The sequence below is a fragment of the Homo sapiens genome, chromosome 5 (assembly GCF_000001405.40).
Source record: "Homo sapiens chromosome 5, GRCh38.p14 Primary Assembly".
Classification (NCBI taxonomy): Eukaryota; Metazoa; Chordata; class Mammalia; order Primates; family Hominidae; genus Homo; species Homo sapiens.
Genome location: NC_000005.10, coordinates 109,148,345 through 109,162,298, shown reverse-complemented (window position 1 = coordinate 109,162,298; position 13,954 = coordinate 109,148,345). Strand labels below are relative to the sequence as shown.

The 13,954-nt window shown below is 35.7% G+C and overlaps 1 protein-coding gene across 17 annotated transcripts in view, besides 1 other annotated feature; it reads right to left on the bottom strand.

The window, feature by feature from the left end:
• Positions 1 to 13,954, bottom strand: part of FER (FER tyrosine kinase) — a 448,945-nt gene that overhangs the window by 34,543 nt on the left and 400,448 nt on the right. Inside the window, exon 17 of one of the 17 annotated variants that reach the window (XR_007058589.1) lies at positions 7,931 to 8,096. The exons of the other annotated variants lie outside the window; for them this stretch is intronic. The gene's annotated coding sequence lies outside the window, so the exon portion shown is untranslated. The remainder of the gene's footprint in view (positions 1 to 7,930; positions 8,097 to 13,954) is intronic. 17 annotated transcript variants of the gene reach the window in all.
• Positions 6,364 to 6,564: a silencer, noted in NCBI's record as "peak5410 fragment used in MPRA reporter construct". NCBI's record gives its function as "represses an SCP1 promoter by STARR-seq MPRAs in K562 erythroleukemia cells {active_cell/tissue: K562}" and the evidence as "EXISTENCE:reporter gene assay evidence [ECO:0000049][PMID:32103011]".

Sequence of the window (13,954 nt, the reverse complement as noted above, 5' to 3'; positions counted from 1 at the left end):
GGATTATAATGACTAATTCTTTCAAACGAAAGAACTCTTACGAAACAGACTGAGTTATACCATGAAATGTTACTCATTTGGAGATTCCCTATTTGTTTTAAAAGCTATTAACAGTACAAAAATGACTTGAGAGTAAAGCATTCCTGAAAAAGTACATACATATTTTAGACCACTAAGAAACATTTACAAGAAAAAACCAAACAACTCTGTTAAAAAGTAGGTATAGGACATGAACAGACTTTTCAAAAGACAACATACATATGGCCAACAAGCATATGAAAAACTCATCATTGATAGAGAAATGCAAATTAAAACCACAATGAGATACCCTCTCACACCAGTCGGAATGGCTATTAAAAAGTAAGTAACAGATGCTAGTGAGGTTGTAGAGAGAAAGGAAGGTTTATACACTGTTGGTTGGAGTGTAAATAGTTCAATAATTGTGGAAGACAGTGTGGCGATTCCTCAAAGACCTAGAAACAGAGCTACCATTAGACCAAGCAATCACATTGGGGTTGCACTGGGGTCTAATATACCCATAATGGGCATATACCCAAAGGAATAAAATCGTTCTACCATAAATACACATATACGCGTATATTCACTGCCTCACTATTCACAATAGCAAAGATATGGAATCAACCTAAATGCCCATTAATGGTAGACTGGATAAAGAAAATGTGGTACATATACATCATGGAATGCTATGTAGCTGTAAAAAGGAATGAGATCCTGTCCTTTGAAGGAACATCCTTAGCAAACTAATGCAGGAAGAGAAAACCAAATACCACATATTCTCGCTTATAAGTGGGAGCTAAACGATGAGAACACATGGATACATAGAGGGGAACAATACACACTTGGGCTTATGAAGGGTGGGAGGAGGGAGAGGGTCAGGAAAAATAACCCAGTAAGTCTAGTGGGTACTAGACTTAATACCTGGGTGACAAAATACTGTGTACAATAAACCCCCATGACACAAGTTTACCAATCTAACAAACCTGCACATATACCCCTGAACTTAAAATAATATTTCAAGATACTTATGGCCTCATAATTTTAAATCTACAAATATTACTTACAGAAGCATCCTACAGACACTATTTGAAAAGGATATTTAAATAAAGAACCTTTTATAAACAACGAAGCTGTAAGAGGAATACATTAACAACATTCAGCATCTTACTTTAAGCCATTGCTCCTATTTTTAATCTTACACATTACTTTCTCTTGATCTTTGCATTTAGTGTTTATGTATGACAAGTACTCAAAAGCTTTTAGTGCACCTTGGAGAGACAGAATTTGAAAAAAGGTCATTATGCTAAGAATGGCAAAGAATAAGATAATATATCAAGGTGTGGCTTTTCTCCAACTCCCACATGTAGCATCCGTCATCAGTCTTTCAGATTCCCAAGAGAAAGTTCAGGTACTAGAGGTCTATTTTCATCTTAAATTCAGAATTTAGATAGAAAAATTCTCTAGGTGTTTTTATACAGCTACACAATTGGTCTGGTCCCAAAGGTTGGTTTGTTTCTTCTTCTATGACCCAGACAGTTGACATTCTGCTTACAAAAACAGACTCAGAGAAGAGCAGGCAGTGCTTCTCAAGGGCTGCCAAATTGTGTCTACTTCGGCATTTTACAATTAGACAAAATTAAAGGCAACAGTAATGAAAACAGTATCTAGACCTAAGAAGGAGGTTACTTGAACCAGGATTGGATGAATTTATTTAGCACAGAGAACCGAAATTTAATAGCTCTAAGAATGAATAAAGTAGGGAAGACATAGTATTTTGCACAGCAAGTTACGACTGGATGCTTCCAGAACAGGAATTTTCTTCTTATGAAACACTGACAACACCATTTGCAATTATGTATATATTTCTTCAAGAAAAGTTATTGATATACTAATAGAGAAAGGAGATGAGAGAAAATGAACTGAACCAGTTTGCATTTAGGATGCAGCAAGGTTTCCTGGTGGACAGGATGCCTCATGAATCTCTTTTCATCCCTGTCGTTTGATTCATCACTGTTTCTTCCCATGAAGTCTGCAGATGTGCCAGTCAGTATCACTAAGTCTGGAATCTGACTGAATCCTAAGAGTTACCTGTATAGTTCCATAGGCTAATTTTTAATTTTAGGGGAAGAAATCTATTCGGGATGCCTTGTTTTTCTTATACTACATCTGAATGTAGTAAGCATGAATGACATTCCAATCTTTCACTAAATATTTACTTGATTTGAGACAAAAAGATATCTCTGGTTCATTTCTTTCCTCCCAGCAGATGCTCTTACAAGGTTTAAGTTGGGATCCCCACCCCCACCAAATGTAGTCTTTCTCTTTGTCACTTTAATAACCATCACTAAGAAAACAGAAAAGGTAGGTAAATCAAAACTAGTCAATGGTTTTTTATCAGTGCAGATCATCTGCTTAGTAGATTACTGCTGCCACAGACTATTTTTGTGCAGAGCCTCTATGAGAGGCCTGGGGAGGGTGGGCTGCGACTATTCGCAGACTCTAGTCTGTGCCTCTGCATTCATAATTTTGACCTTCAAATGTTCCTGAAGTATTTTTCCAAGTAAAACTACTTCCTTTTGGCACCTATCTCAGCCATAATCCCTGAATCTCATTTTATGAAAGAGGATTCTACTGACAGTGTTTAAAGAAGTCCTTTAGTACTGACCGTACTATACACCCCACATTTATATACTACTTGACAATTATTGTCTTATAAATTAACATCTATTTTATATTTTTCTTGACATGTATTGTCTCTCTAATAAGGTTTTAAGCCCTTTAAAGAAAATAACTACTTCAAATTGCCATCAGCATGAATTCATTCATTCAACAGAGTGATCCCTGTTCATGGTACCAACTGGTTACTGTGGGAGTTCTAGCATGTAATTAAAATATAATCATAGAATGAGAGATGCTGCTATAAACACAAAAATATGTGATAGAAAAGGTAAAGATTATTTCTGATTGGTGAATGGCAGGAAAATCTGTGAAGGAAAGACTAAGTTGAGCCGCTTGAAAGAAGAGTAGGGTTTTTAGAACTATTTTAAAAGTTGAAAATAACATCTATTATTTTGTTTTCTTACTGTAAAAGCACAAGAAGTTTACTGATAAAATATAGAAAAGCCAAAACAGGGGTAGGGAGAAGAGTAGCTTTTACCCAACTGGCCAGAGATAATGACTGTTAATACCAGGTTGAATATGCCTAAAGTTTGCTCAGCAGTTTATTTTTAAAAAATGTGATTAAACATACTATATTATATCCCTTTTGTTTTATCTAGCAATATATCTTTTCATAATAATCCCATAAAATTCTTTTTAATGACTGAATTTAAAATTATTTTAATAATTATTTTAAATGACTTTCATTATTGGTATTCATGAACATACTAATAATTATTTCAGATATTTTAGGTTCTAAGAATAGGTATGATTCTAAGATATGGCAGAAAAGGCAGACAGAAAGGAAGAGCATTCTAAGTAGAAGGTATAACCTGAGCAGAGGTGGAGATAAGAAAGTGAGAAGTGAGTTCAGGGAACAACGAGTACTTCAATTTTTGAGAGGATCAGTAGGCCCTAAATTAATGAAGACACTCAAGCTAGATTCTGGAGAGTCTCGAATGCTAGCTATCATCCGAAGGCAATGTTGAGCCACTAAAGATTTCTCAAGAGAGGTATGATGAACAGAGCTGAGATTTAAAAGAATATCAAAGCAAAAGTAAATGGTAGATTGAATGACAAAATGGAGGCTATAATTCTAGGAGAAGATTGGTATTCTTAAGTGAAGCATTCTCCCTGCCATCATTTTTTTCTAACTCATTTCACAGACTCCCAGCTTCTTTATATAAAATATAGACTAATTTTTATTTTTATTATTTTTTGAGACAGTGTCTCACTCTGTCACCCAGGCTGGAGTGAAGTGTTCTGATTAGAGCTCACTGCAGCTTTGACTTCCGGGTTCAGGTGATTCATCTACCTCAACTGCCCCGACCCCGACTTCTGACCCCCAGTATATGGGACCTACAGGCATGTGCCACCAAGCCCGGCTAATTTTTTGGTATTTTTTTTGTAGAGACGGGGTTTCATCATGTTGCCCAGGCTGGTCTCTAAGTCCTGGGCTCAAGCAATTTTCCCACCTCAGGCTCCCAAAGTGCTGAGGGGTTACAGGCATGAGCCACCGTGCCCAGCCTATTTAAAAAATAGATACACGCCTGTTTTTTTTTCTTTTTTCTTTTAACTTAGCTCTCTCCCTTCTTCATCTAGCTAAATCCTATGCATTCTTCAAAACCTAACTCCAGCATTGTTACTTTCAGAAAGGCTTTTCTATGATACCATAGCAATATTCGTCACGTATCTCACTGAATAGTAATCATAGCTTTGTCTGACTCTGTCTCAAATGTCAGCTTCGTGCAGAACTTCTTATGTGAGTTGGAACCTCAAAACCGAGGTAGATGCTGCTATACAGTAGTTCTCAATACATGTTTGCTGAATAAATGCATCAAAGTTCTCAAGTCCCCAGTATTCAAATGCCACTTAAACTTTGAAACTAAATTTGTATCAGAGAAGTTCTGGGTAGGTAAACTAAAATCCACAATTTTAGAAATAATGAAAATTCCATAAAAATGGAAAGTCACTAAGGAAAATAAGTCAATTATTTTTTGGAAGCATATCCTCACAATAGGAAATCTATTGAAGTTAACAGCACTGGAGCACAGAGGCAGACTCATTAGGGAACAGTTTGAAATGCTCGATATCAGAAAAAAAAAACAGAACTCATCGCCAGTGATCGAATAAAACACTAGCAACAGCAATGTACACTCCAGCAGAAAATTCCAACAAGAAGACAATGGTTTACAAAAATGACAGTCCAGGCATGACAGAGCAAAGGGAGTAGAATTTAGAACAGTGGAAATTTTACAGCCTCCCCCATTACTGATCACAGCAGTAAATTGCATTTTAAAGTGTTTTCATAGAAACCGTCACTAAGAAAATCTGTGTAACACTGAACTGCCAGCAGATTTAAAAACACAAGTGTCTCTCAGAAGGTAATAAAGATCAGATTCAATTTAATTGTGTATATATTTTTGATTGATTGAGAAATAGTAAGTCTACAGTTCTGATTGACTTTTGGAGAGAGTAAGGGGCTATACCAAGCTTCATCATGATGTAACAAGCATGAAATCCACATAGCTTGGCAGTTTTCAAAAAACACTATGATATTCCTGTGATTTATGGCCTAGGAGAAATAACTGGCTGGGTCTCAGTTTAGCATAATTTACTTACCAAGTGTGGTCTACCTCCTCTTCTCCATGGACTCCATTAGCATCTGAGCATTAAAAAATCTTACCTTTGAGCCCCTTCCAGATATCACCCCATTCTCTGTTTCTATTACTTCACCTCCTTTCTTGGCCCTCCATAATATTAATATGATTTTGCCCCCATTACTTTATTGAAACTGCTCTAGCTTCGTTGTGGTTACATGCTATGCATACTCAGGGCCTTCTTTTTCTTGATTTTTCAGTAGCACTTTACATTACTGACCACTGCTTCTTTGAAACTATTCCTTTAGTTTCTAATCACTAGACCACCTTTGACTACCCCCTCTTGGTCTCTTCTGCCCATAAATTCCTTAAACATTGATGTTCCCCCAGGTTTGGTCCCAGGTGCTCTTTTCTTTTCAGTCTATAGGGTCTTTCTAGATCATCTCATATACTTCTATGGCTCTTACTGTCATCTATATGCTCATGACTCCTAGAGATCTAGACCTAGATCTCTGCCCTAAATTCCTCCTTTGTTCCAGGGCTTAACTAGGTGCCTCCAGATAGCTCTAGTTTGCTATCCTACAGCTACCTAAAATTTATCATAATCTAAATCTGCTTTCTTTATCAGCCAATGGTACCACTATTCACTAATTTGCTCAAGTCTTCTTCCTGAGTGTAGTGTTTGGTGTTTCACTGTATTTCCACTCTGACATTCTATTAATGAAAAACCCTGTCCACCTTATGAACTTAAGGCCTTTCAAATCTATCAACTACTGTCTAATTATACTGCAACTCTCTCAATTCCGTCTACCATCACCTCTTACCTCCTGGCTTGTCTCTGGTATTAGCTTGCTTTAAGCGTTGTCTACACTGCAGAAAAGTGTTATTTCTATAACACAAATCTTATCATTTCTTAGCCTTAGTAAATACAGATTATAATTTTAAAAAGTCTAAATCCCTTAATATCGCTTATAAGGATTTTCATGATTTGGCTGTAGTTCATTTTTCTATTCTTACTTTTTTAAAAAAACTTTCTCTTATTTGCCACTTGTTACAAATCCACTTAACTGTATTATCAATTAGAACCCCTTTCCTCATCTGGTCCTCAAGAGATATCATGAGAAACTTTCTCAAAAACCTTAGTGAAACCCTGATATAACCACACTGTTTCCCTTATCTACCAGTGTATAGGCTCTCTCAGGAAATGAAGAGAAAGAAATGTTTTTGAGTTCATGCTGGCTTCATTTGACCATCACTTTCCCTTCTATGGACTCACAATCTATTTTATCATCCATTTCAGAATTGTGTAAGAGAGTATCATCAAGCTCTCTGGTATAAAGGTTTCAGAATCTATATTTTCACTCTTGTGAAAAATCAAGACAATATTTGTAGACTTTAGTGCTGTAGTTCCCTTTCTATTCTCCATGAGTGTTGAGATCACTATCAACAGTTTAGTGATCTCACTTGCAGGTTTTCTTTTACTTTGGGCTACAATTAATCTTAACCAGGAAACCCACTCCAAGCAATTAAACTTTCCTAGTCACTCTTGAATTACAAGTACCTCTATGCAATTTCTCTTCTCTCCTGATTTGCCCTATCTCTTGTTAAAATGATCACATCTTTTCTAAGTATCGGCTCTATTCTTCCTAGTTTGAACACTAACCCCCAAAATGTTCATCTTACTTTTTTAACTTGACTACTCTTCATATTTTTCAATGACCTCAGCTCATTAAAAATTTTGAAACCTGCTTATGCTAGTCTCACAGAAAGTTTCTTGCCAGATAGGATCCTAGGCAGTAACATATCAGTTACTTAAGAGACATCAATATCTGGTTCTTCATTCCCGAGCACATGGAATACACTTCCTAGCTTCCTTAGGGCTAGGTGGGCCATATGACAAGAGAATATGAATGTGTGACATGTTACTTTTGAACTAGGGAGTAAAAAGCTTCCATGTAACTATTTAGGGCTCCTCTTGCCATGGCAAATGTAGGGTACATATCGAGATGATAGAGTTATAAGATTAACCCACACTGGTTTCTCAGAGTTCCTGCTTGAGATGGAGATGCTCTGTAGTTATAGGACTCATAAAAGATATTCCAAGAGCAAGAAATACTGTTTTATACACGAAGCCACTGAGATGTAGTATTTATTTGTTATTATAGCGTATGTCTAACTTTTCTTAGCTAATATTGGATCTTTCACTATTATTTCAAAATTTCAGTTTTGAAGGTCCCTATTCCAAATGAGTCATTTTTTCATTTTAGGGTCTTAAGATAATGTGGTAGGTTGAATAAAATTTGTGGTAATTTGTTACAGCCACAACAGGAAAAGTGATATAGATGTCGAATAGTACTTTTCCTTTCTCTGAACATTTTGAAAGTGGCTAAGGTATAAGTAAACTATGTCTTAAACGAGATTCCTCTTTCCTTCCATCTTTATCTAAATGTTAATAGTTAAGGGCTATAAGATGTGAGTTTTTTCTTCCTGTATTCTTTAACCCACTCATTCTTCCATGTTCATCTTACAGGCATGGATTTGGTTTCTTTTTTACTCTCTATAAAAAAGTTTCTTTCCTACTTTCAGTTCTGAATTATTTATCTTATCTTTCCTAATAAATTGGAACACAGAAATCATTTCATCAAGGCTTTCACCTTTTACGTGGTAAAAATCAGCTTCCATTTAATGTTCTCAAAACTGGTGATACACTTCATCAAGGAAGATAAACATAGCACAGTCTCTGAAGGTTTCTTCCCTGTTCCTTCAGTTTTCATACTTCTGGTAAAGGTTTGTAACTGTTATAGCTATCCATGACACCTGCTGTGAAGAAGTATAATGTCAAAACATCTGTTACACTTGTTTTCTGGTTCCAATTATGAGACTTATCAGAACTAAACTCCTATGCAGGGTGGACCCGTTCTTCGAGCAGCATGGGTTTTTTTTTTGCGTAAGTATGCATATTAACTATACTCTTGCTAGTTTCTGCAAACCTAGAGATCCTTAAACAAATATAAGACAATGACTTGAGAAAGATCGCTGAGAATATGGTAATTCACTGCTCCCTGCCACTTGATTCTTTCTGTGTTTCCAGGCAAACTGTCTATAATAAAACATTCTGGAGCCAGTCACTTTATTTTTGAGATGAGAAAGCAGAGGCTCTGATAACTGAAGTGACTTTCCCAATATGAGAGACGGTATACTGCTAATGGTTAAATACAAGGACTCTAGAGCCTGGGTTCAAATTCAGAGTCTGCCACTTATTACTAGCTATACATCACTGGGCCTCATTTTCCTTATCTGTAAACTGGGGATAATGATATCACTTGCCTCATAGTGAGGATTAAATTAGTAAAATTTAGAATAGATCCTGGCAAATAGAAAGCAATACATAAATGTTGATAACTACTGTGTTATGCAGTGAATAAATGATAGAGTTAGTATTAAGAAGTGATTCTGGTGCTCACTCTTCCCACTGTCCCACCCAAGATCTTTCAGTCAAATATGATATACTGGAATTGTTAGCACACTTTATTACTGAAAATACAACCGTTAAGTCAAACCTTTTTTTCCCTAGTTTTAGAATGAATTTTGTTGCTGTTGTAAAATAAGGCATTTTTAAAATAAAAAATCAAGCAATCATAGAAAAGCACAAAGAAAAACAATCATATCAAATCCTATCACTTGAAATATCTCTGTATGTATATGTACAACCAGAAGATGTAACTATATTGATGGATAATGTGATTGATCATAACATAATGCTGCTTTTTAATAAAAACTCAAATGAGTGTCCAAATTGATTTTTTTTTTTTTACCATAAAATCCTGGTTTAATAGTTTGCTTGAGAAATAGCACCACCATGGTATAATGAAATTTTCTCTGCTTCATGAGATCATAAAAAGGGCTTCATGTTCATCTTCATTTTGACTCTGTGGCTAATGAATAGATTTTCCTAATTCTAAAGACTAAATCACTTGAGTTTAGCTATACACATATACCATGTATATAGCTATGGTATCTTCTTCCATACTCTTTTTTGATACTCTCTAGTTCTAATCTATGTTTTGTTAATCCACTGTTAATCTATTTTTAAAAGACAACATGAATATTTTTAAAGCTCAATAAAATATCTCCAAAATGGCTTGTTCTTAACGGCTTCTTTTACAATGAAAGTTTTATTACGATGGTGGTAATAAGATAGGTAGTGCATAAAACTACAGGTTCCACATTTCCTTCCTTGACACAGTTTGAAAAGTCCCCTGAAAGGGCTTTGCTTTCCTGAACATGATAGCAAAACTGAAAATGTAGCCATAAGTATAATAAAGGCATGTATATACACATAATTTCACCGTGAAGTTATTCTATAAATACTTGCAATTCAGTACGTATCTGATTATATTTGTTTTATATATTGTATACCCACACCTATAAATCAGAGACATATGTTGACCTTTCTTTTTCCTGACAGCAATCATAATTCAATACTTTTCCAGAGGGCTACACGAGTCCTAAACCTGACATTTATATTTATTAATGATTTCTATACAGCCTAATTCTAATGGGTTTATGGTCTTGGCAATACTTCTAGCCTTATGTTGTCTTTTTGAAAATTAAAACTGGTCTCCCCTCTGGGTAGGCAAATGGATTGCAGTCTACATTTATTTCCCAAGTACCCCCTAATGCAGGGCACAAATTAGATAACTATATGATGAGTCTGGTAGATTAAAACAAAGATTTGGGATTTAAAAAAAATCTAGACCATCTTAAACTAAGAAGAGGAGCTAGCTGATGATATAGCAGATTTTATAACTCTCAGGAACTGACTTTGATTTTACATTTTTGGCAGCTATGGCAGAAAGATAAATATGTAGGGTTACATAGCCTTGTTTCCTCAAGTTCATATATATGTACCAAATCATCTGTATAAATGTACAGGCAAATTTTTCCTGGAATTAAACTCAAATGGAGATATTATTTACATCATGGAATAAAATACCTTGACTATCTACAGCTACGGTTGCCCGAAAGTCTCAGAAATGCTGTACAAACTGAAAATTCTTGCATTGATCCTAAGAACAGGAGGCATGACAGTAAACCATAACTCTATAAAGATGCATCTTTGTGGAGCTAAAAATAATGTAGTCATTTGCTTTCTGATTTTGCGAGTTATGAGACAGAATTTGGAAAACCTTTTTCAAATTTTGTCACATAACTTGTCTGTAAACTTTGTCTCATAACTTCGTCTGTAAAAATGTCCACTGGACTGTTTCTAAAACATGAGAAAGATGAAATGCATTTTGAGTAGGTGCTGGGCTGCTGTCAGATTATGCTTTGACCGCAGGTCTTGTGATGTATTTTCCAGATCATTGTAGCTGTTGCTGTAATGACACCAGTCTGTTTCTAAAAGTTTCTTTACTGGAACCATCTCTTCTGGAGTCAAGTTCTCCAGTAATTTCTACTACAGCAAATGCCCTAATTTACCAATGAAAGAAAATACATCCCATTAGCAAAAGCAAAACAGAAATCACACACCCTGGTCACGTTATCTAACTTTGCATATTTTTCTCATCTTTTACCTTGGGTGAAAGATGTATGTCTGTAGCTTTTGTACCAGTCTGTAAATTTAGTAATCTCTGCATTTTCTTGAGTTTCTTGTTTTATGGTCTTTGGAGTGAAAATTTAATATACTGCATATAAAGCAGAAAATCTAATTTTTCATTTGAATTTAGTAGTCTTGCCAACAATTCATCTGAATTTAACCTTATGATTCCAGTTCTTGTGTCTCAAAGTAATGTGTAGAAAAATATTACCTCTAATACTCAAAAATGGATAAAACAAATGTAAAAACAAAGTGATTTTTTAAAAAATCTGAAACCTCCATCAAAAAAGTATAGCACGGCAGGAAGCATCATTCAGCGAATTACAACAATTTTCTGTTCAGCAAAGCCATTTTAGACTATTTTTCTACTTTCAAAGGGAAAAGAAACTAGCCAAAGATACAAATTCTTCAAAATACTTGGTCTATATTTCATTATTTTAGAGCCCATTACTTATTTCCAATACAATTGTATTAAATACCACTTTGATTAACTTAACATTATTTAGTAATAATTAAATTATAATGTATTCTGTTTTGATGACTCAGTTATGTAAGATAAATTTGCAAAGGGCTCTAATCCAAGGTCAAACATTTAGAATGTCACGAATAAATGACAGATTGTTCTGATAACAATAATATAGCAAAGACACATGAAATTTCATTTTCAATAATGGCTCAGTAAATTTCTATGCAAGGAGAATGTTAATCACAGGGGAGAAACATAAACAACTATAACGTTAAAGATATATTGTCTCCTGGAACCCAAAAAGAGATAACTTATTGTTTTATTTCCTCTTATAAGAGCTAGCCAGGCCAATGCCATGCTATTCTATGGCTGTGTTTGCTGACCACCTAGTTCCTAGTTAAGTTACTATTTTGTATTCCAGAGCAGTGTCAGAGAAGTCTGAGGGAGAGAGGTAGCTATGTAAACAATCATAATTAGTGCAGTAAGTGCTATGAGAGAGTAATAAAAGGGGAAGCTAAACAATTTTTGGTAGAGAAATGGGGCTTGCTAAGGAAAATGAGGTCTAACTGGAACCTAAAGGAAATAACAAAGTGAGATGGGTATAGGATGCTCCAGAGGAAGTGAAAGTATGTTTAAAGTTGATGGAGCAAGAGAGGTATACTGGGAAAGGTGGGTTCAAAGGAAGGAAGCGATGACTTAGAGAAAATGAGAGCCAGCTGATCAGATAGATGCTCAGTTTAAGGCAAAGGGATGACTTAGAGAAAATGAGAGCCAACTGATCAAATAGATGCTCAGTCTAAGGCAGTGGTCCCCAGCGCTTTTGGCACCAGGGACAGGTTTCGTGGAAGGCAGTTTTTCCACAAACAGGGGTGGCGGTGGGGATATTTTGGGGATGAAACTGTTCCACCTCAGACCATCAGGCATTAGATTTTCGTAAGGAGTGCGCAACCTAGATCTCTCGCATGTGCAGTTCACAATAGGGTTCACACTCCTTTGAGAATCTAATGCGTTGCTGATTTGACAGGCGGTGGAGCTCAGGCGGTAATGCTCCCTGGCCTTCCGCTCACTTCCTGCTGGGCAGCTCAGTTTCTAACAGGCGAGGAACCCGTACTGGTTTAAAGTAAATATTTTTCACTTCTGAGTTCTGTGAAGTAACGGAACTTTTTCAATTCATGTTTACTACTGTTCCTGGAAATTTTATTCCCAGCCACATGGTTTTGTTGTTTTCCTATTTATCTTATAAGCGTGTTTCCATATTCTCCTAAAACTACTTACCTACATTACTCCTTTTTAAAGTAATCCTTTACAAGCTTTGTTTACTAGAATTTCCAACACTTGCCATTGTGAGGTCATACCACTGTGAGTTTCTTGATTGATATGAAATTTGTTTCTCTATTGGTGTAGGTATACAAAACTAGATTTGTTTGAGGTCCCTTCAGGATAATATGTACTCTCCAAGCAGTTCTTTGTAGTTCAAAATAAAGAAATTGAGAGCTCCTCATAAGATTTATAAAGACTCAAATAGAGCAGTTTTCTTCCATTAGAGGTGGGTTGGGGACCCCTGGTCTAAGGGATCAGACTGTAGGCGCTCAGAGAAGTTTAGGGTGTCTCATGCTCCAGATACTCTTTTATCTCTTCTCCCTCCCATCCCTATTACAAGTGAACTACTCTTAGTCTTGTACTCTTTGTAGTAAGGGGAAGAAGAGAAGAGCCATTTGTGAGAGACCTTTTACATTTAAGAGAGGCCTCAAATTTAGACTTTTAAATCATCATCTTTAAATAACGTTACACATATGGTCACAGAAACATTCACATAAGATTAGAGAATAAAAAGATGTCACAATTTTAAAACCAGGTTTTGCATTTTTTTTAATATATCAGAAAAAAGGAAAGTGACTTGACTATTATTTGGACCTTTTAGAGACCCTGATTGAACTAGGTTATGTGACAATTGCTAGCAATGGGTAAGACAGATGTAGTTTGGTCATATTTTACTCTCTTAAGTAATATTATAACTTAGGTTAAAATGCAGGTCTCTACATCTACATCATCTTTATTTGATGATCTTTCTAATCCTTAGCATCTCCAAGACCATCTTACACACTCATTGCTATTCTGGTACTTACAATGCCAAGCATCAAAGCCTATCGCTAGCCACTTGCTGGGTGAGAATACATACACACATACCCATACCAAAGCCCCATTTTGACTGTCTTGGCCAAGAAAAAAAGTATTTTACATAAGGAAATTATCCAAGTAACTGAGGGGTAACCCTTTGAGGAAAACCTTTAAAAGTTTTAACCACTTTTAGTGAAAAACTTTCTAAAATGTAGCACATACTTTCTTATACTCTTAAACAGAATGAAAATAGTATCCCAGTGTCCCACACAACTCTAGGAAATCATTATGAATAGAATAACTAAACTTTGGTGTAAGAGAGTTGATACGTCAGACTACTTAAAAGCAGGTTTCTTCCCACATGCTATCTGATGCTTTAAGAATCTTGTCCCTTTCCTTTACTGTCTTTTCAATCTTTTTAAAAAGCATCTTTGTTTCTTTTCTCTCTGGACTGCACCTTCCCTGACAGCCTTTTTCTAACTTGCAGATTAAAAT